The 23,148-nt window shown below is 39.8% G+C and overlaps 1 protein-coding gene across 12 annotated transcripts in view; it reads left to right on the plus strand.

Annotated features, from left to right (window-relative positions):
- The window catches only part of IPO5 (importin 5), a 70,622-nt gene that overhangs the window by 36,736 nt on the left and 10,738 nt on the right, over nucleotides 1-23,148 (plus strand). For all 12 annotated transcript variants that reach the window (XM_024449346.2, XM_011521089.3, XM_047430298.1 and 9 more), the window contains 13 exons: nucleotides 23-127; nucleotides 2,482-2,604; nucleotides 2,695-2,815; nucleotides 7,121-7,208; nucleotides 10,129-10,235; nucleotides 12,057-12,181; nucleotides 12,274-12,363; nucleotides 12,454-12,627; nucleotides 15,720-15,938; nucleotides 17,649-17,732; nucleotides 19,471-19,603; nucleotides 19,693-19,814; nucleotides 21,836-21,932. In XM_024449346.2, coding sequence (XP_024305114.1) covers nucleotides 23-127; nucleotides 2,482-2,604; nucleotides 2,695-2,815; nucleotides 7,121-7,208; nucleotides 10,129-10,235; nucleotides 12,057-12,181; nucleotides 12,274-12,363; nucleotides 12,454-12,627; nucleotides 15,720-15,938; nucleotides 17,649-17,732; nucleotides 19,471-19,603; nucleotides 19,693-19,814; nucleotides 21,836-21,932 — 1,588 coding nt within the window. The remainder of the gene's footprint in view (nucleotides 1-22; nucleotides 128-2,481; nucleotides 2,605-2,694; nucleotides 2,816-7,120; nucleotides 7,209-10,128; nucleotides 10,236-12,056; nucleotides 12,182-12,273; nucleotides 12,364-12,453; nucleotides 12,628-15,719; nucleotides 15,939-17,648; nucleotides 17,733-19,470; nucleotides 19,604-19,692; nucleotides 19,815-21,835; nucleotides 21,933-23,148) is intronic.

Consider the following 23,148-nt stretch of genomic DNA (forward strand, 5'->3'; position numbering starts at 1 on the left):
CATTTTTTCCTCTTGATTTTAGATCAGGACGTTATCTGCTAGAGCTACAGCTGCATTTATACTTGCAAATGAGCATAATGTTGCTCTGTTCAAACATTTTGCAGACTTGCTACCGGGATTCCTACAGGTATGAAAGCAATATAGAATAAATCATAATTATATCTTATTTGGTTCTTTAATGCATTCAATCATTTATGCAATAAATTCATATTGCCTATTATGTTCTGGCGCTAGGCATACAGCAGTGAACAAAACATGCAAATCTCAGTCTCCATTAAGCTTATGTTTACTGCCTTTGAAAGACATTTTTAGTCTCTTACAATATTTATAGTTATAAAATTTTTCTGTAATGTAAATGTTGTAAGCAATTATATGCTTATTGTTGAATTTATGGTCATGTAGATTATTTCCATTAAATCAACCAAATAACCTGTGAGATTTAATGCCCATTTTACATAAGGAGAAACTACTCTTAATTACAGGGTGTGTAATAGTTTGTATTATAATGTAAGTTTATGGTTAATTCACATTATCGTTAAGGATGTTAATTTTTAAGAATACTTTCTGCTTTAATCAGAAAGCAAAATAAGATGAGACAAGATAGAGCATATATTCAGGGCAACTTGAATCTATGCTCCTGGGGAAAAAAATTTTATATTAATTAAAATTTAAAAGATTGGACAAGTTAGTGGTTCCCAACCTTGTCAGACTCCAAACTCCTTTTTTATGGCAATCTTTTAGTAATTTTTCATGTACTCTTCTAAAAATGAAATGCATAAGTAATGTAATATATATGCATAATTTTTTAGAATATTAATATATGGCCTTAATACAAAAAAGAAATGCAAAGAAACGTATAATAAAATGGCTTGCTTCTCCTTATGTAAATGGTCAGACAAGACTACACTGGAAGACATAATAGACTAGGTGGCTTCCAAGTGATCTGTACAAATGCAATAGCTAAAACTGGACTAATAGCAAAGATATTGGCAAGTCAAACACCACAGTTCCCATTAGAATTGGTGATAAGATTTCCTAAAATAGTAAGGTTCTGAACAAAGCAAAGTAGAGGTTGAGTGTCTCTTATTCAGAATGCTTGGGAGTAGAAGTGTTTCGGATCTCAAAATCTTTTCAAATTTTGAAACACTGTATTTGTGTTATACTTACCAGTTGAGCATCTCAAGTCAGAAATCCGAAATACTCAAATGCGCATTTCCTTTGAGTGACGTGTCTGTGTTCAAAAAGTTGAGGATTTCAGAGCATTTTGGATTTGGGATGTTCCACCTGTATGTATCCATTCTTGATTGATACAGTAGTTACATTGGAGGGGGGGATAACAGTTGTTAAAACCAGGCAAAAAATAATTTGTGAGTTAGTTTCTAGGTTCAGATCATTATAAAGAGTTTTCTCCTTTTTATAAATGTCTGGGATTTGTAATAATGTGAAATGCATAATGAGAAGATCATGTAAGTCCCTTGTGCTTGTGTCACAGGTGCAGGACATTTAGTATCCATGGCCTTTGCCCATCCTCAATCGTGTGACCATCAAGAAATATCTCCTGGGTGAAAACCATTCCTCTTGAGAACCACTGAGTTAGAGAGGATTTAGAGGAGCTAAAATTGAAGGTTTCCACATGATAAGTTATTTAAAGGATTTAGTGAAACTTCTCTCCCCCTGCTATCACAATGAAAAGATAGTTTCGTGACAGAACATAAATTGTAACATACTATTGCTTTAGTAGTTTATTATCTGAAATCTCTAGTTACTGTTGAAATCTAATCCCGGTTTTCTTCCTCTGGATTTAGAGTAAGTTAAAATGTTTACCACAACTTTTAAGAGTTGTTATTCTGAAATAGATAATGATAAACACAAAATGCATACTTTAATACCACAGTGACCAGACTTAACATCCAAGATAAATAAAATGGGTAATATTGGACACTTTAAATGTATTACAGGTTCTAGTACTTACTATGCGTATGAGAAAAACTAGGGCATGGATATAAGAAAGGACAGAAGAGCCAGGTGTGGTGGCCACACATGTTGTCCTGGCTACTCAGGAGTCTGAGGCACAAGAGTTGGAGGGTACTGTGAGCTATGATTGTGCCACCACACTCCAGCCTGGGCGACAGAGCGAGACCTTATCACTGAAAAAATAAAAGGACAAAGGAAAGGGACTCCTGGTTATAAAAAAAAGTAATTCCTTGGTAGCCTTAAGTATTGTAATGGTTATTATAGTTTCACTGATTTTCATTTTGACTTAGATGTAAATCTGTTTTGAATGTTTCTAGTTAACATCCATCAGAAGGAAGGTATACATGTGCCTGCAGGTAGAACATTTGCATAATATAGATTGCTAAATTATTTAGTGAAAAATAGTTTAGTAATATTTCTCTATTGTCAGCATCTTAGGAATCTTTTGGCTAATGAGGCATTATAAAGTGAATCTTCAGCACCGACTTTCTGTTTCATCTTTTCTAGGCGGTAAATGACTCGTGCTACCAGAATGATGATTCTGTCCTAAAATCCCTCGTTGAGATTGCAGATACTGTTCCAAAGTATTTGCGTCCTCACTTGGAAGCAACTCTACAGCTAAGTCTAAAGGTAAATTAAGTACGTTAGTAAACGTTCTGTTTGTTATTTTCAGGGACTAATCTAAATTATTAAATGTATACAAATATGTCTTCTTTGTAGTTGTGTGGAGACACTAGCCTCAACAATATGCAACGCCAGCTTGCCCTTGAAGTGATCGTCACCCTCTCTGAGACTGCAGCTGCTATGTTAAGAAAACATACCAATATTGTTGCACAGACTAGTAAGTCAATGGTCTTCAGATAGTTTATGTGTATTGTGGCCAAATTTTTGGATAAATTTGCTGAGGGTTGTGTGATTTCTCAGATTGTTGAGAATATAATGAATATCCTTTTAGAATCAGATGAATTTGGGAAAATGCATCTCAATACATGCAAGCGTGGACCCCCACATTGTGGTTATGCCTTTAAGACTTTGCAGACACCCTGAAATCTGGTGTTAAAAATAACATTTCTAGAGTGGAGTGTGACAGACTCTATCATTTATATGTTAATATTGGGCACAGTTAATAGAGTCAAAAACAATTCAGCGGGGATATATAGATGCACAGTAGCGAACTACAAACCAAAATAGCATGTCTTGCTTACCAGTGAAGCCAAGATTAGAAGAACAAGGTCTAACACTAGTCATGGCTCTGTTCACTATATTACATTGCTTTTGTTTTATAGACCCTCGTTGCAGCAGAAACTTAAATGGCTATTGTGCTATGGAAATACTACTTTAAGTTTCATTGTGCTGGGATAAGGACTTGAGAACTAACCTGATCATTTTCTGGCCTAGCCATTTCTTAATGAGCTAATGAGTACTTGAACACTTAATTTAGAGGGTAAATACGTCACCAGATTTATTTTGTAGTGGTACCTACCTTTTGTCTTACACTGAGGTAGTGGTTGGAATTTTAGAAACATTCCCATTTAAGTCAGGAACAAGAAAAATATCTCCTTTATCACTGTTCATGTTGTACTGACTGCCCCAGCTGATGCATTAAGAGATAAAAATAAGTTATAAGCATTAGAAACAATGGCTGGGTGCAGTGGCTCATGCCTGTAATCCCAACACTTTGGGAGGCCGAGGCGGGCAGATCACCTGAAGTCAGGAGTTCAAGACCAGCCTGGCTAACATGCTAAAACCCCGTTTCTACTAAAAATACAAAAAATTAGCCAGATGTGGTGGTGCACACCGGTAATCCCAGCTACTCGGGAGGCTGAGGCAGGAGAATTGCTTGAACCCGGGAGGTGGAGGTTGCAGTGAGCCCAGACCATGCCATTGCACTCCAGCCTGGGCAACAAGAGCGAAACTCGTCTCAAAAAAAAGAATTAGAAAACAAAAATATTGCTTATTTGTAGGCTATGTGGTTATTGTCTACAAAAAGTTTTAAAGACTCAACAGATAAACTGCTAATCAAAGGGTTAAGCAAGATCCTTAGATATGAGAACATTTTATTGTAAGTGTTCCATTATTCATAATAATCATTTAGAAAATTTTATAGGCATGAGTTATAGTAACTGGGAATAAATCAAAAGATGTACAAGACATATGGGAAAGTTGAATAACATATTGAAAGACTAATAGAAGAACAAATTATCAGTTCTCAAATTAATCTAGGGTTATGATAGAACAATCCTGAAATTCTTCTGAAAGAACATAGGGCCTGGAGTAGCCAAGACAATTTTGACGAATAAAGTGGAGATCTTGTTTCATCAACTCTGTGAATTTAGAATGCATTGATGATGCAGGTGTTGACAATGGATCGGATGGAACAAAGGGTAGAGTGTAGGAGAAGATCCGCTCACATGGGAACAAAGCCATTTTTAAAAAGATAATTGATCAAAAGTTCTTGGGGCCAGGCATACTGGCTCAGGCCTGTAATTCCAGCAATTTGGAAAGCCAAGGTGGGTAAATTATGTGAGCTGCTGAGTTTGAGACCAGCCTGGGCGACATGACGAAACCCTTTCTCTGCCAAAAATACAAAAATTAGTCGGGCATGGTGGCACACGCCTGTGGTTCCAGCTACTCAGGAGGCTGAGATGGAGGATTGCTTGAGCCCAAGAGGTCAAGGCTGCCGTGAGCCAAGATTGCACCATTGCACTCCGGCCTGGGTGACGGAGTGAGACCCTGTCTCAAAAAAAAAAAAAAAAAGTTTCTGGGATATCTTTCTTTCATTCTTTCTTTCTTTGTTTTTTTTTTTTTTGTTTGTTTAATAGGTTTATGGGGAACAGGTGGTGTTTGGTTTAGTGGTGATTTCTGTGATTTTGGTGCACCCATTACGGGAGCAGTGTACACTGTACCCATTGTGTAGTCTTTTATCCCTCACTCCCCTCCCACCCTTTCCCCTGAGTCCCCAAAGTCCGTTGTATCATTCTTACACCTTTGCATCCTCATAGCTCAGCTCCCACTTATGAGTTGAGAATATAACTGGTTATTTCTATGGGGAAAAAAATTCCAACTCTAGACAGCTTATTAAAAAAACAGGCCGGGCGCGGTGGCTCACACCTGCAATCTCAGCACTTTGGGAGGCCGAGGCAGGTGGATCACGAGGTCAGGAGATCAAGACCATCCTGGCTAACACTGTGAAACCCCGTCCCTACTAAAAAATGCAAAAAATTAGCCGGGCGTGGTGGCGGGCGCCTGTAGTCCCAGCTTCTCGGGAGGCCGAGGCAGGAGAATGGCGTGACCCGGGAGGCAGAGCTTGCAGTGAGCCGAGATACCGCCACTGCACTGCAGCCTGGGCAACAGAGCAAGACTCTGTCTCAAAAATAATAATAATAATAATAATAATTTGGGGTCTACTCAAGACCTGAATATTACCTTGCACGCTGGAACTAGTTAAAAAAGTTAAGGGCTAAATATTACAGATATATTTTACAAGTAATGCTTAATAGTAGATAATTTTCTAAGACTGAATCACAAACCATTGATGTAAACATTGCCAAATTGGCAAATGCGAAAACAATTTTTTGACCAATCAGATACACCATAAATGAACTGAAAAAATAAGCCACAAACTGGAAGAAAATAATTACAGTGCACACAATCAACAGTTTTGTTATCTAGAGAATACACAAAGGCTGAGAAGAGGAAATTCATTGCTTTTTTCTTCTTTAAGATGGGGTCTTGCTCTGTCATCCAGGCTAGAGTGCAGTGACATGATCTCAGCTCACTGCAGCCTCCCAAGTAGCTGGGACTACAGGCACGCACTACCACACCTGGCTAATTTTTGTGTTTTTTGGTAGAGATAGGGTTTTACCATGTTGCCCAGGCTGGTCTTGAACTCCTGGGCTCAAGGGATCCTCCCACCTAAGCCTCCCGAAGTGCTGGGATAACAGGTGTGCACCAGCAGGCCCAGTCAGGAAATTCGTAAAAGAGGGATCTGAAATAGCTAATGAACCCTGCTAAGTCTCAATAAAAACAAGTGTAATTGTGGAATACAAGTTGTCCAGAAGTTTGACAGTATCAATTGTTAATAAAAGATGTGGAACTGAGAGGACGCTTATTCCACCCCCAGGGCACTTCACACATTTTTGTGAAATAACGGAGACCTCCACTTAAACTTCACATAGTTTATGCAACAGCTGTGCAGAGCGCAGCTTGTTTGGTAATTTTCTTTTTTTCTTTTTTTAGACAGAGTCTCGCTCTGTCGTCCAGGCTGGAGTGCAGTGGTGTGATCTTGGCTCACAGCGAGCTCCACCTCCCAGGTTCACGCCATTCTCCTGCCTAAGCCTCCTGAGTAGCTAGGACTACAGGTGCTCGCCACCACACCCGGCTAATTTTTTTGTTTTTGGGGTTTCACCATGTTAGCCAGGATGGTCTCGATCTTCTGACCTCGTGATCCGCCTGCCTCAGCCTCCCAAAGTGCTGGGATTACAGGCATAAGCCACCGCGCCTAGACTTGTTTGATAATTTTTTAGTACTATTTGAAGATAGTAATAACAATTTCATGCCTAGACTCATGCTTGTCAAAGAAAAGATGTAATAATCTCATCAAAGCAAATTTTATAGGAGGAAAAAATTGGAAACAACCAAAATGTTTATCAGCTAGACAGTGGGTAGTATGTTTATATAATGGAATGCTATTAAATAAACTGAAATCCTTATGTGTTGAGAAAAAAGCAAATTGCCGAGGTACATATATTATGAAACCATTTATTATATAAAAAATCAAATCTTGAAATAGTACTATAATTTTGTATAGAGATATGGAAATCTGTAGTTCAAGTGTGAAAAAACAATTGCGGAATGAGAAACATTTGTGATGTTGCTTCTTACCTCTGGTGATGGGGAGAATGTAATCGGATTTGGGAATTTCATAGGAGGGTTTGACTTAATGAATGTTGCTTTTTAAAGAAACGATAAAAGCAAATATAACAAGGTTAAAATTTAACAAACCAGGTTTTGGGGGCACAGACAAATAATTGTTTTGTCTTGTTCTCTTACAGGCAAAGTAAAATCTTAAAATTCTTGTTTATAAATAGTGATATGGATAAGATAAAGTCACAGTCTTCGGGTATGAAATAATTGTTTACTTTAGTTCCTCAGATGTTAGCAATGATGGTTGATTTGGAAGAAGATGAGGACTGGGCAAATGCAGATGAACTAGAAGATGATGATTTTGACAGGTAATCAAACATTGTGTCCAGGGTGGCAGTGAAAGCCCTAGGGCTCCACGGTCCATCTCTTCACTATTGCACCCTGTAACCTGAAGGTAAACTTTTAAGCCTGGAATATGGGGCACTTTGCCTTGCTGTTGTATTTATTGCTGTGTCACATGTTATAAGTAGTATTTTCTTTAGTTTTCATGTATAATTTATATTAATAAAATTTATGTTTCTTGGAAGTTCATAAAAATATTTTAATAGTTAATACATAAAGTTGTATTTTATAATCAGGAACTGAAAGATACCTACAACAACAAACAAGGAAGTTTTTCTTTTTTAAAAAAAAGTATGACATGAAAACAGCAAATAAAGTAGCTATGTTTTTTGTTTGGTTTTGAGACGGAGTCTCGCTGTGTCGCCCAGGCTGGAGTGCAGTGGCGCGATCTCGGCTCACCGCAAGCTCCGCCTCCGGGGTTCACGCCATTCTCCTGCCTCAGCCTCCCGAGTAGCTGGGACTACAGGCACCTGCCACCACGTCCAGCTAATTTTTTGTATTTTTAGTAGAGACGGGATTTCACCATGTTAGCCAGGATAGTCTCGATCTCCTGACATCATGATCCGCCCGCCTCGGCCTCCCAAAGTGCTGGGATTACAGGCGTGAGCCACCGCACCTGGCCAAGTATCTATGTTTTTAACTGTCGTACTCTAAATTATTTCCAAGTTTTTTGTTGTTTTTGTTTTTGTTTTTAGTTTGAATATCTTTTAAAACGTGTATAAAGCAGCTTTTTTGTGATAAATGCTTTTACAGGCAGAGACTTCCCTTAGAATAATTGTTTCAACAAAATTCCCTGCAATACACATCATATTTTCCTAGTAAAAAGCAGTTTAACTTTAGGATAGGCAGCATCCAGTGGTGAAAAGATGAGAGTCAACTGGGTAGAGTATTACTATTGTACTTATTTATTTCAGCTTAGGAAGTCCCATGAATACAGGAAAAGTCAACCAAAATCTGTATTCACTGTGCAGTAGTAATGATGGCCCCTTACATGTATGTGAAACATAGCACCTCTGAGCTCTGTTACTTTAATCAACTTTATTAGCAGTCCCAGAGGTGTATTATATTACAGTTGCAGAAAGGGAGATTGAAGATTGAGTGATTTGTCTGAGGTTATGTAGCCAGTTAATGGACTGGGGTTAATTACCATTGTTTTCATTCTTCCCAGTGCATTATACTACCACCTTTTCTTTAAAAAAGCTGAAATTGGCTGGGTGCAGTGGCTCACACCTGTAATCCCAGCACTTTGGTGGGCAGAGGCAGGCAGATCACCTGAGGTCAGGAGTTCGAGACCAGCCTGACCAACATGTTGAAACCCCGTCTCTATTAAAAATACAAAAATTAGCCGGGCCTGGTGGCAGACACCTATAATGCCAGCTACTCGGGAAGCTAAGCGAGGAGAATCTCTTGAACCTGGGAGGTGGAGGTTGCAGTGAGCTGAGATCACGTCATTGCGCTACAGCCTGGGCAACAGAGCAAGACTCCATCTCAAAAAAAATAAAAAGCTGAAATTATTCTCCTGAAAGACTTGGAGTCAGTATAAACTACTAGGTTAATAAAAGTAAAAATTAAAGATTTTTGGCTTTAGAATATATATGCATTTTTGAGACTTAATCCCATTGTTAAAAATGACTGATTTCTGGCTTTAATACTGTCTTGAAGTATATGAAAGTAATCTTTCACTGGAAATCACCTGATAACGGCTGAAGAGAAGACCAGGGCTAGGTCGAATTTCCTTTTTGGTTCAGTTACTGTAATGTGCTGCTACCTGTCCTTTCATTTGCCCTGCAAATGGCACTTAAATTTATACAGTTTAAGAAACTTTGTTTTCTAAACTAGATGAATAAGATTTTCTCATTTGTGAAACAGCATAAATATATTTTCAGGGTGAGATTTTTTTAAGTCTAAAAACCTGTTCTGAAGATAATTTATAGTTTCATTTTTATAGTATTGTCTTTACATAGTAAAGATAATGCACATGAAATACACTACTGATCCTCCAGTTCTAAGCCAGGATAAGTCCAAATGCTTTTATGCCCACATTCCTTTGGCTTTCAGAGAAGACAATAGAATTGAGTTTCACATAGCTATGCATAGTTTTTGGCAGTGCAGTTTGCACCCCTTTAAGGGTGAATAAACTCACAGTGGGGAAGATTATACATTCTCTGCACCCTTTTCAGTTTTCTATGTTCTGTTCATTGATAGGTTTGAAGACTGTATTTCTAGGAAATGAAATACATGAGGCTCTTTCAATACTGCTTTTACTGGAGTGTTGAAAGTGTCAGAAGCTATTTCTGAGAACAGTTTTTAGCCAGTAGCGGGTGGGGGTGGTCTTGAAAAATAAGATTCAGGCTGGGCACAGTGGCTCACGCCTGTAATCTTAGCATTTTGGGAGGCCCAGGCGGGCGCATCACAAAGTCAGGAGATCAAGACAATCCTGGCTAACATGGTGAAACCCCGTCTCTACTAAAACTACAAAAAAATTAGCCAGGCGTGGTGGCGGGCACCTGTAGTCCCAGCTACTCGGGAGGCTGAGGTAGGAGAATAGCATGAAGCTGGGAGGCGGAGCTTGCAGTGAGCCGAGATCGTGCCACTGCGCTCCAGCCTGGGTGACAGAGCGAGACTCTGTCTCAAAAAAAAAAAAGAAAAATAAGAATCAGGCATGACTTTCTAAACTATGGTGGATCATGATAAAAACATTTACTCTTTTTTCTTTTCTAAGCTGCAGAGTTTTTAACCCCTAATTTCAATTCCACATTTAAAGACAGCTTGAATTCTTTCTCAGTCTTAGTTTAATAATAATATGGTTAGAAGTATGTCTGTAGAGTATACTATTTCTTTTGTGTTTCAGATATATTGAGTACATAATTCTGTTTATGTGTTTAGCAATGCAGTTGCAGGCGAGAGTGCTCTAGATCGAATGGCTTGCGGACTTGGTGGAAAGCTCGTTCTGCCGATGATCAAGGAACACATTATGCAAATGCTTCAAAATCGTAAGCTGTGTCCTTCAAATGCTAGAAGAGTGAAGTTGTGCCCTTTCTAAAGCTTAAATTCTAAGATATGTTTAGACTGTTAAAAATTAATCTTTGTCTTTTTATCATCCATATTTAACCCAATTCATTTATTTTACCGATAAAATTGTCAATCCCAAAGAAAATGTACAGATTTACTTCCTAGCCAAAAGTATTTAGATTTGAATTTGAAAATGATGTTATTATTTGAATTTTTATGGAATATTAGAATGTTTGAATCATATACTCTTCTTTCACCCAATATCTTTTATTTTTAAAAGAAGAAACTCTATCTAATGTTATCAAAAGAGAAACCACTTCTTTCTTTCTGTTTTTGCCCCTGACGGAGGTGATGGTGGAAGCCCACCTGCCCTGGAGGGCAGCTGTTGTTGTTGACACAGGATTTCGCCATGTTGCCCAGGCTGGTCTCAAACTCCTGGCCTCAAGCAGTCCTCCTGCTTCAGCCTCCCAGAGTGCTTAGATTATAGGCATGAGCTACCACACCTGGCCATCCTTCCTTTTTATTTCTATGAATATTTCAGTTACCTTTGTACCTGTAATATATATATCAATCCCAAAGTTTATTGTTGTATGTGTTTTATTTTCATTTGTGTTTTTTAATTATAAAGTTAATGTGTTCTTTTGTTAAATTAAAATTCAGAAGTATTAAGTTAGAAATTTGTTTGTTTTTTGGTGGAATCTCGCTCTGTTGCCCAGGGTAATGTGATCTCAGCTCACCGCAGCCTCCACCCACTGGATTCAAGCGATTCTCCTGCCCTAGCCTCCTGAGTAGCTGGGACTACAGGCACATGCCACCACGCCCAGCTATTTCGAGACAGAATCCCACTCTGTCAAACAGGCTGGAGTGCAGTGGTGCAATCTTGGCTCACTACAATGTTCACCTCCCAGTTTCAAGCAATTCTCCTGTCTCTGCCTCCCAAGTAGCTGGGATTACAGGCATACACCACCACACCCAGCTAATTTTTGTACTTTTAGTGGAGATGGAGTTTCTCCATGTTGGCCAGGCTGGTCTCAAACTCCTAACCTCAAGTGATCCGCCCACCCTGGCCTCCCAAAATGCTGGGATTACAGGCATGAGCCACTGCACCCGGCCTAATTTTTGTATTTTTAGTAGAGACGGGGTTTCGCCATGTTGGCCAGGCTGGTCTTGAACTCCTGACTTTAAGTGATCCACCCGCCTCAACCTCCCAAAGTGCTGGGATTACAGGTGTGAGCCACCGCGCCTGGCCTGATACATACTTTTAGAATCAAGTAGTCACGCACTTTTTCTGTTCATTTTTCTAAAAAGTAAATATACAAATGTTTTGTTTTTTGTTTTTTTTGTTTGTTTGTTTCTGTTTTTTTTTTGAGACAGAGTCTCGCTCTTTCGCCCAGACCAGAGTGCAGTGGCGCGATCTCGGCTCACTGCAAGCTCCGCCCCCCCGGGTTCACACCATTCTCCTGCCTCAGCCTCCCGAGTAGCTGGGAATACAGGCGCCTGCCACCGTGCCCGGCTAATTTTTTGTATTTTTAAGTAGAGACGGGGTTTCACCACGTTAACCAGGATGGTCTCGATCTCCTGACCTTGTGATCCGCCCGCCTCAGACTCCCAAAGTGCTGGGATTACAGGCGCGAGCCACCGCGCCCGGCCTATACAAATGTTTTTATATTATATATACATATACCCTTTTCAAAAAAGTTTTGTTACTCTTTTCCAAATAAGAACTTTTATACATCTCCCTCTACCAGAATGACATGTTTATAGTGTGTAATTGCTATTCCATCTGTAATTTTTTTCGGTAGCTGACTGGAAATACCGGCATGCAGGATTGATGGCCTTATCTGCCATTGGTGAAGGGTGCCACCAGCAAATGGAAGGAATTCTAAATGAGATCGTAAATTTTGTTTTACTTTTTCTCCAGGATCCTGTAAGTACCAGTAAATATTTGATTCAAAATGATTAGTGTAGCTTCATGTGGAAACCTTCTTGCTTTTACTAATGAAAGGGAACATTTTCCAGCATCCAAGAGTAAGGTATGCAGCCTGTAATGCCGTGGGACAGATGGCTACAGATTTTGCACCTGGTTTCCAAAAGAAATTTCATGAGAAGGTAAGTAACAAGTCCTCAAACACTTAAATCAGACTTTAGGAAGAAGGGTGGACATTTCAACATGTGTGCCCATTTGGTTTCATTTCACAGGTGATTGCAGCTCTGCTGCAGACCATGGAAGACCAAGGCAATCAACGTGTGCAGGCCCATGCAGCTGCTGCCCTCATTAACTTTACTGAAGACTGTCCCAAGTCACTACTTATTCCATACTTGGATAATTTGGTGAAACATCTGCATTCCATTATGGTACTGAAGCTTCAAGAGGTAAGTTTTAAGATCTGTAGGCTGCTTTCTGTTTGTAGATTAATTTGGGTTGATTTGATGGGTAAGAACTGGAGAAAGAGGGACTTGCAGCATGACCATAAAGAATATAAAGTACAAAAACTGAGGAGGCTATTCGGAGTTGTGGAATGATGAGTAGAGAAATTCAGATTGACCAAAATGTGGGCTGATAATTGGAATTGGGAAAGATACAGCTAAAGGTCAGGTAAAATCAGTGTATATGGATCACCCTGAAAATAAGGCAGAGAAGTTTTTGAACTCTGATTTATGTAAAGTGTGAAAAACCATTCTGTGTTCTTAAATGCTGCAGGAAATTATCATATGGTAAAAAATTAGTGTGGTAGCATTGGGTGAGGCATACACAAAAAAGGGAGAAGATTTAAGGCAAGACCATCATACTGTCATCGTCCAGGGAGCTTAGATAGTAATAGTGGAAGAGGTGATTCTAAAAGACATTTCATGGGAAGCATTAACAGTTTGTTTCTGGCAGTTTGAATTTTAAAAGATGAAAGGGCCCGGCACGGTGGCTCATCCCCGTAATCCCAGCACTTTGGGAGGCTGAGGCAGGTGGATCACCTGAGGTCAGGAGTTCGAGACCAGCCTGGCCAACATGGTGAAATCCCATCTCTCCTAAAAATACAAAATTAGCCGGGTGTGGTGGTGCACGCCTGTAATTCCAGCTACTCGGGAGGCTAAGAGGAGAATCACTTGAACCCGGGAGGCAGAGGTTGCAGTGAGCTGAGGTGGTGCCACTGCCCTTCAACCTGGGCAACAAGAGCAAAATTCTGTTTCAAAAAAAAAAAGATGAAAGAGAAGAAATTAAAAAACATTGAGTATTCTAACCAGAGTGGCAGAAATACAGAAGTTGTAGAAGCAACATCATTTTTGAGTATCCAAGTAAAAATGATTATAGTTACAGCTGAAATAAGGGATGCAACCTGAAAACAATTGAATGATGTTAGTCCAGCACAGTGTGTGAGAGATGTAGATGCGAAAAGCAAGGATTTTAGCCCAGTTTATTGTCAAATGTTTATTGTCAAATGCAATGAAAATGGATTACTACTATAAAAATGAAATGAATAGAAGGCATAGAAAATAAAAGATAAACCTGCTCTCAAATTGCTATAAAAGTTTCTAATGCCCTCAATTCCTATACTTAATATGAACTGGTAGCAAATAGTTAACAAACCACAGTTTGCATAGCACTGGCAATTGGTCAGAGAGCAAGATAAACAAGAAATGCAATGTCTCAGAAGCCAAAGACAGAGGACTTATAAACAAAGGCCCAAGTGCTCAGTATCAGATGACAGCAGACTAAGAATATGATAAAGGAAACATTCGTGTGCCCGAAGGCAGACCGAGGTGGACCCAAGTTGAAGGCAGATTGGTTGGTTGGTTAAATCAGTAATGGATGGATCCAACATGACTTTACAGGTTTGGGTGGATGGCTGTGGTATGATAGTCTGTGTGTACCCCTGCCCTTCCTTCCTGCAGTGAGGCACTATATGGGTTTTTAAAGATAAGTGGAAGGAGTTGTTGGGATGGGATGGTAGGAGGACAGTGTTCACGAGGAAGAGTTGTACGAAGAGAAGGTAGCCTAGCAGAGGAGGAAAGACATTTCCTCTGGGGCCAGCAGCACAGTCCACACTAAACATGGAGCAGAGGTTGAGGTACAGAAGCAGAAAGTAAGATGGCTTTCTCAAGACATAGTTGAATGTGTAACACAAGTTAAAGAACTCTGCTGAGAGTGTGGGTGTAATTGACGTGGGGAATTATGAAAATCTGGAGTAGTAACTGGCTCAGGTTCATATGAGTTAATATTTTATTTTATTTTATTTTATTTATTTATTTATTTATTTTTATTTTGAGATGGAGTCTCGCCCAGGCTGGAGTGCGATAACGCACTCTCTGCTCACCGCAACCGCCGTCTCCCGGGTTCAAGCCATTCTCCTGCCTCAGCCTGCCGAGTAGCTGGGATTACAGACGTGCACCCACCACACCCGGCTAATTTTTGTATTTTGAGTGGAGACAGGGTTTCACCATGTTGGCCAGTCTGTTCTTGAACACCTGACCTCAAGTCATCCGCCCACCTGGGCCTCCCAAAGTGCTGGGATTACAGGTGTGAGTCACCGTGCCTGGCTTCTTTTTTTTTTTTTCCCCAGACAGAGTCTTGCTCTTGTCAACCCAGCTGGGATGTAGTGGCGCAATCTCGGCTCACTGCAACCTCTGCCTCCCCAGTTCAAGCAATTCTCCTTCCTCTGCTTCCGGAGTAATGGGATTACAGGGGTGTGCCACCACACCTGGCTAATTTTTATTTATTTATTTATTTATTTATTTATTTATTTATTTATTTAGTAGAGACAGGGTTTCACCATGTTGGCCAGGCTGGTTTTGAACTCCTGACTCAGGTGATCCGCCTGCCTCAGCCTCCCAGAGTCCTGGGATTACAGAAGAATTATTTTAAAATATTGCTGGTGACAGGACGGGCCCAGCAGCAAATAGTTAGTAAGCATTTGTTACTAGCTGGGTCAGAGAACACCAGATCTTTGGTGCAGAGAAAAAGGTCATCTCATCTGTTTCAGCAAGACAGATGCAAGAGAAGGCAGCAGGGTTCCTTCGTGCGATCTTCTGGGGAGAGGGGGTTAGAAGATAAAGGAAGGGGCCAAAGAGGGAATTTTCTTTATGACGTAGTAAGACAGCACAAAATATAATCATAAGTAGAGGAAATCAGTGAAGAAAAAAATGAGGATGAAGTGTAGGCATTAAAGTTGATGAACACAAAAATTTTGATTCCGTATCTGTACTCAAGAATTAGCTGTGCTTTGAGATGAGACTAACATGAGTTAGAGGTGTTGTGTTAATAGAAGAGAGAAAAAAAAAATCTCACATAAATAGTTCAACATAGATTCTTTTTATAGAAATTTCCTCCAAAACCTACAGTCTCTGCTTCTGGAGAGGTGGTCTCATTCTGCTGTTTCAGAAAAGCATTCAAGAACTTGAAGGGAGTAGTAATTGTAAATTTAAATACTTCTTCCAGTTTTCCTTTGAGGTAATAATTTGTGTCTTCCTTCTAGCTGATTCAGAAAGGCACCAAGTTAGTTTTGGAACAAGTTGTGACATCCATTGCATCAGTTGCCGATACTGCAGAAGAAAAATTTGTCCCCTACTATGATTTATTTATGCCATCACTGAAGCACATCGTTGAGAATGCGGTTCAAAAAGAACTGAGACTTCTGAGAGGAAAAACTATTGAATGCATTAGCCTCATTGGTCTGGCTGTTGGGAAGGAAAAAGTAAGTAATTTTTTTTTTTTTTTTTTTTTTTTTTTTTTTTTTTTGAGACAGAGTCTCGCTCTGTCACCCAGGCTGGAGTGCAGTGGCACGATCTCGGCTCACTGCAAACTCTGCCTCCCAGGTTCATGCCATTCTCCTGCCTCAGCCTCCCGAGTAGCTGGGACTACAGACGCCCGCCACCACGCCCGGCTAATTTTTTGTATTTTTAGTAGAGACAAGGTTTCACTGTGTTAGCCAGGATGGTCTCAATCTCCTGACCTCGTGATCCGCCCGCCTCGGCCTCCCAGAGTGCTGGGATTACAGGCGTGAGCCACTGTGCCCGGCCTGTAATTTCTATTATGTTAAATTTACTGTACCTAACTTGGCTGTGGAGGCATTGAGAGTACTAGAGGGATTTTTTCCTTCTGAAAAATGGTTTTCTGGATGCTTGTTTTTTTCCTTACTCCTTTCACATTGCTCCTGTTTTATATACAAATTCTTGCCTTCATCTTTTCATTGTTTGTTTGTTTGGTTTGGTGTTTTTTTTTTTTTTTTTGAGACCAAGTCTCACTCTATCACCCAGGCTGGAGTGCAGTGGCATGATCCTGGCTCACTGCAACCTCTGCCTCCTGGGTTCAAGCGATTCTCCTGCGTCAGCCTCCCAGGTAGCTGAGATTACAGGCACCTGCCACCACTCCCAGCTGATTTTTGTATTTTTTTTTTTTAGTAGAGATGGGGTTTCACTGTGTTGGCCAGGCTAGCCCTGATCTCCTGACCTCAAGCAGTCTGCTCACAGGTGTGAGCCACCGCGCCCAGCCCGTCTTTTCATTGTTAATATTAAGGTTTCTTTTTAGCTCAGCTGTGCTCCTGATGCCTCCTCCTTTCCCCACCACACACAGTGCATCTCGTGGGAGGTGTGTGGAAGTCAGTATCCATGTTCGTTCCCTTTAAATATGTGCTTGGAAACATGTCACTTGCTTTCCTATTAATCTAAAATGCATCAAGTGTTCTAAGAGAGAAATCTATGCATATAGATCTTCAGAAAATAATTACCAAGGACCATTGGCCAGTGTGTTTCTCAGCCAACATCTCAGAATTGTTCAAGCTAATGCAAAAGAAGTTTCTCTGTCATTGAATCCTCATGTTCTGACCCTGAGAATTATCAACAGAGAAGCTCTGTCTTGCCTTCTTCAAAACCAGCATCAGTATTAATTTATATTTGGAACTGGTTTCTGTGAGACGCTGACCACTAAAACATTGGTATGTTTTTTACCAATAAAATATTTGTATGTCCCATACTCTATATATCTGGCTTTCAATGTCTCTTTAAAACGCTGCCTGTTTATACAATGGAGATTACCAGAACTGCAAAGAGTTAAGTGAAAATCATAGACAAAATTTTATGCAGTGAATTCTATAAACAATCTAAAATTTTCTTTCTGAATTTGAATTCAGTTTTACTGCTTGAAATGCGTAAGCCATAGACTAACACCTGATGCCATTAGAAGTACCTTTATACTGTAGTTCCCTGCCCTTCAGTGGAAAATATATTTTTCTAGAAAGTGAACTAAATCTGTCACAATATAGATGAGAATTTTTCAATATGATAGTTTATCTATGAAAGTTATGACCTATGTGGGCAATGTAGTCGATTTTTTGGCAAAGCTTTGCTAATTACACAAGAAACAAAATTCGGTATCAACAAGTGTGTCTCTACATATTTTCCTCTAGTTCATGCAGGATGCATCAGATGTGATGCAGCTTTTGTTAAAGACCCAGACAGACTTCAATGATATGGAAGATGATGATCCTCAGGTAAGTGGTCTTAATGCATTTGCTTTGATCCGCTAATGAGTTGTGGACAGCACATGGTTCAATATATTTAAAACAAAAGGAGTGATAGGTTTCTTGACATACTATCAACCCCTGCTAGCAGAGACATTCTTCACTGATTTTCCTTCTGTTTCTCAAGCTACTTTTTCTCAGTCTGTTGTAGGTTGCTCTTGCTTTCTGTGACTCTCACTCAAGTTTTGGTGTTTGTGGGTTCTATCCAAGGCTCTCTTCTCACTCCTGTGGAGCAGTGTCACTCACAGACATGGCTTCCGGTTTCCTCTGTGTGCTTGCAACTTTCAGATCTTCAGAATTGAAGATTCATTTATCCAACATGTAATAGACATCTCCATTTGGGTGTCTCCTAGCCCTTTGAAGGCTGCATGATCTCCCTCCCCTGGCAGAAAATACAGAACCCAAGAATCTCAGGACACACTGCTTGCCTCTCCGCCAACGAACAGACAAAGGCATTTCATTAGGAGGAACCCCTGCCTCTCGACACACACGCACATACACACATAGGTATACATACCCAGCTAACGCTTGCTCACAGTTCTCATCCTTTACAAGATTTTCCTGATCTGCTCAGTCTCAATGGTGGGCAGTTCCAACACTGTTATAGTAACATCATAAATGTTTGTCATATCTTGATGGTATTCCCAATGCCTAACATATAACAAGGCACTCAATAAATAATTGTTGAATTAAATTTTGACTTTACATTGCCACACTGTAATAGTTTAAATAGGAAAACATACCATTTTGCAAAGAAAGCATGTTTTGTTGTTGTTTGCTTTCTTTGCAAAATGATATGCAAATATACATGTATGTTTTGTATGTACAGAGATAACAGGCAGGAGGGATACTTAGCAGACTGCTGACAGTAGGGAGACTGAGGGGACTGTAAGCTGTAGGGAGGGGTGGTAAGGACGAGGCGTGTTGCTCACCTTTGTATCAGCCAGCATATAGTTTAATGCCTGGCATGTGAGAAACACCCAGTACCTATCTGAAGAGCGGGTGGACTTTTACATATAAAATCATTAAGAGGTGGGGCATGTGTCCATGCATGCTCAATAGATAAATAGGTAGGTGGATGACAGATATCAGGGGATAAGAATCACTTTCTAGGTTGCAGGGGTGGTGAATGGAACCAGATTCTCTAGGTAATTTGCAGATGATAAAGTCTGTGTAAACACAGTAATAGGAGAAGAGGTGTTTTAAATATACTCAGCCACTTATGAGAAAATTATAACAGCTAAGAGAAAAGGATGTTTTGTTTCTTGGGTTTTAATAAATGTTTAATGAATGGAGTGGCAGGCAATAGGGATACAGAGTCAGATAAAATACATTTCTGTCTTCAAAAAATTTGTAACTGGGAGTTGATGAAGTGTTTGGTTTTGTTTAGGTGATTAGTTTCATTTAGATGATTCAGATGCTAAGAAAGAAAACCATTATCACTTACTGAAAGTAGAAAGAAATACCCAAGGTTCTGGTCTTTGTGTTTTGCCTCACCTGCTGTCCATATCCCAGTGTAGTGAGTTCACAGGGATTTCATTATTGATTCTGAACCTTTTAAGTACATAACCTTTAGAAATGCTCTTACTGCTTAAAGTACTGTGAACATATCAATAAAACATTGTTTCTATGAAATAAGGAAATGGCTTTCTTTATCACGTTTACCCATTGTTTTTTAATCTATTTTAATTTTAAAATTTTTCCCCAGATCTCTTACATGATCTCAGCATGGGCCAGAATGTGCAAAATCCTTGGAAAAGAATTTCAGCAATACCTTCCAGTGGTTATGGGGCCTTTAATGAAGACGGCTTCAATTAAGCCCGAAGTAGCCCTTTTAGATAGTAGGTGTCTTTAGAAGGAGCTATCGGTTATAATAGTTCTCTCTTTGTTATTATTTTTCATATGCATTTGTTTTCTTCTCCGTTAATAGCCCAAGACATGGAGAATATGAGTGATGATGATGGTTGGGAATTTGTGAACCTTGGAGATCAGCAAAGCTTTGGTATTAAAACTGCAGGACTAGAAGAAAAATCAACTGCTTGCCAGATGTTGGTAAGAGAGCACTGTTTTTACTAAACTTTTATTTTACATCTTATATACATTTCATATGAGTGCTTTTAATAGCTGCTAAAGAAATTACTTTGGAGAGCCAGTAATATGTTCCTTAAAAAGTAAAGTTTTCTTTCCATTTTAAAGAAATCGTATGGATAAACCTTTCATTATCAGTGCTGTTTTAAATAGCAAAAAACAACAAATAGCCCAAATTCCTGTTAGTGGGAAGATGAATTACTGTGCCTTGGAGTAATATACAGCCATTACAAAAAGTTTATAAGCTACATGAGGGAAGGATTTTTGTTGGTTTTGTTCTTAGTCTATAGTAGGTGGCCATGGAATGTTTTTTAAACAAATGAACAGAAGTGTGTTCATGCTATTTAATGTGAAACAAAACTTGTATGATTTCAATTGTGTAAAAAAACAGATATGGCAGGAAAATCAAAATGTTCGGTTATTATCCCTTATGGTGTTTGTGGTGTGCATATGCATGTTTAGTTCCTAGTTTTCTTTTTGTTTTCTTTATGAGCATGCGTTTTAAAGTGAAGGATAATCCTTTTTTTTTTTTTTTTTTGAGGTGGAGTCTCTCTTTTTCACCCAGGCTGGAGTGCAGTGGCACGATCTCGACTCACTGCAACCTCCACCTCTGGCGTTCAGTTGATTCTCCTGCCTCAGCCTCCCGAGTAGCTGGGATTACAGGCGCCTGCCACCACAGCTGGCTACTTTTTGTATTTTTAGTAGAGATGAGGTTTCACCATTTTGGCCAGGCTGGTTTCCAACTCCTGACCTCAGGTGATCCGCCTGCCATGACCTGGGATTACAGGCATGAGCCACTGCACCTGGCCAATACTTACTTTTAAAGTTAGATTTTAGAAATTAATGTATTTCTTATTGTCATCTTCAATACTTAGTATCTATAAATTATAAACACTTTGGATTTTTGTGGGTTTTTTCTCTCAACTGGAAAGCAAATACAAATAATAACATCTTTAAACAGAATTAATCTTTAGATGTAGTAGAAGAGAATGAAACAATTGGGTTTTTGGGGTTTTTTTTGTTTGTTTGTTTGTTTGTTTTGCTTTTTGAAACAGAGTCTTACTCTGTCGCTCAGGCTGGAGTACAGTGGCTTGATCTCAGCTCACTGCAGCCTCCGTCTCCTGGGTTCAAGTGATTCTCCTGCCTTAACCTCCCGAGTAGCTAGGATTACAGGTGCACGCCACCATGCCTGGCTAATTTTTTGTATCTTTAGTAGAGACGGGTTTTCACCATGTTGGCCAGGCTGGTCTTGAACTCCTGACCTCGTGATCCGTCTAACTCTGTCAGCCAGGCTGGAGTATAGTGGTGCCATCCCGGCTCACTGCCACCTCCACCTCCTGGGTTCAAGCGATTCTCCTGCCTCAGCCTCCCAAGTACCTGGCATTACAGGTGCCCGCCACCATGCCTGGCTAATTTTTGTATTTTTAGTAGAGACGGGGTTTCACTGTGTTGGCCAGGCTGGTCTCGAACTCCTGACCTCGTGATCTACCAGCCTCAGCCTCCCAAAGTGCTGGGATTACAAGCATGAGCCACCGTGCCCAGCCATGATTTTTTAAAAATACAAAATAACAGAAGCGTTTTCTACAGATTTACAAAGTAAATGCTTCAATTAACTGATGGTTTCAGGGTTTTTTGTATCTTTTAGAATGATTTTTCCTCAATTAAGTGATACATTTTGTTTGATGTATTGCTGAAACTTGCTGAATGGAATACGAATGATTCCAGCCTTTGAAGGGACAATATATACGACAATAATTTCCTTTTTTTTTTTCTTTTTGTCACTCACCAATACTACAATCATTTCATGACCCTTCTTTTAAGACTCTTTTTAGTTGGAAGACTAATTTGACAGTTCTACATGCAACTTTAAATGTAGTTCTAGTCAAAATACAACCTCCTGTGGTCCTTATGATTTTGCTGTTTGTTAATATTAATGCTTGAAGACTAACATGAATCTTTATTTCCTCCCAATACTTTGGTTACAGGTTTGCTATGCTAAGGAGTTAAAGGAAGGCTTTGTGGAGTACACCGAACAGGTTGTCAAACTGATGGTCCCTTTACTGAAATTTTATTTCCACGATGATATCCTACAACTTCTGAATACAAAACATGTCTAGATTTAGTAAACTTGTAGTTTCTTGGAGTATTAGACAGTGTTGACTGAAGTAGACTTCACCATGATTGTTTGTATTTGCACTAAGTGTACTCTTAGGTGATAAACTCGGTTCTCTGCATGTGCCTTTGTTTCCACTTGTGCCAAAACATGAAAAAGAAAACGTGACCTATCCTATGTTTGTCAGCTTTCTGTGGCCCACTTAAGGATTTAAGGATAATTAGCAAATGATTACAATTATATATAGTTGCTACTTTCCCCAAATATCTTTTGGTAAACGTTAAGAAAATAAGACTTTTATTTTAAGAGATGGTGTCTCACTCTGTCACCTAGGCTGGAGTGCAGTGGCGTGATCAGGACGCACTGAAACCACAACTTCCCAAGTAGCTGGGACCCAGGTGCACAACACCAAGCCCAGCTAGATTTGATTTTTTTTTTTTTTTTTTTTTTTTTTAAGAGATAAGGTCTGCCTATGTTGCCCAGGCTGGTCTCAAACTCCTGGGCTCAAGCAGTCCTCCTGCCTTGGCCCCACAAAGTTATGGGATTACACACCTGAGCACTGTGCCTGGCAAGACCTGTCTTAATAGATTAGAGAACCACTGATAGATGGTCAGCTTTCTGTAGCAGTGAGAACCCTACATTTCAAATGTGGATAGCACCTTTGCGGGGAAACATCACTTGGCACATCTGCATTCTTTTTTGACACAGGGTCTCACTCTGTTGCCCAGGCTAGAGTGCATGGCACGATCTTAGCTCACTGCAACCTCCACCTCCCAAGTTCAAGCGATTCTTCTGCCTCAGCCTCCTGAGCAGCTGGGATCACAGACATGCGCTACCATGCCCAGCTAATTTTTTGTATTTTTTGTTTGTTTGTTTTTGTTTTTAAGTAGAGACGGGCTTTCACCACGTTGGCCAGGCAGGTCTCGAACTCCTGACCTCAGGTGATCCACCCACATCTGCGTTCCAATATCTTTCTCAACATAATGATAGCCGTAATTAATATTTTCCAGTACATTTTTATGCCTTTACACACGAGAGTGGTAGACAGACACAAACCCAGATCTGTCTGACTCCAAAGCCCGTTTGTCATCATTCCTTTTACGGTATCCTATAGTGGTATCCTTTACAGAAGACAGCTTTTACCCAACAAAGACTTAACTTCCCAGGATGCCAGAGGACAAAGCG

Source organism: Homo sapiens, chromosome 13, assembly GCF_000001405.40.
Source record: "Homo sapiens chromosome 13, GRCh38.p14 Primary Assembly".
NCBI lineage: Eukaryota > Metazoa > Chordata > Mammalia > Primates > Hominidae > Homo > Homo sapiens.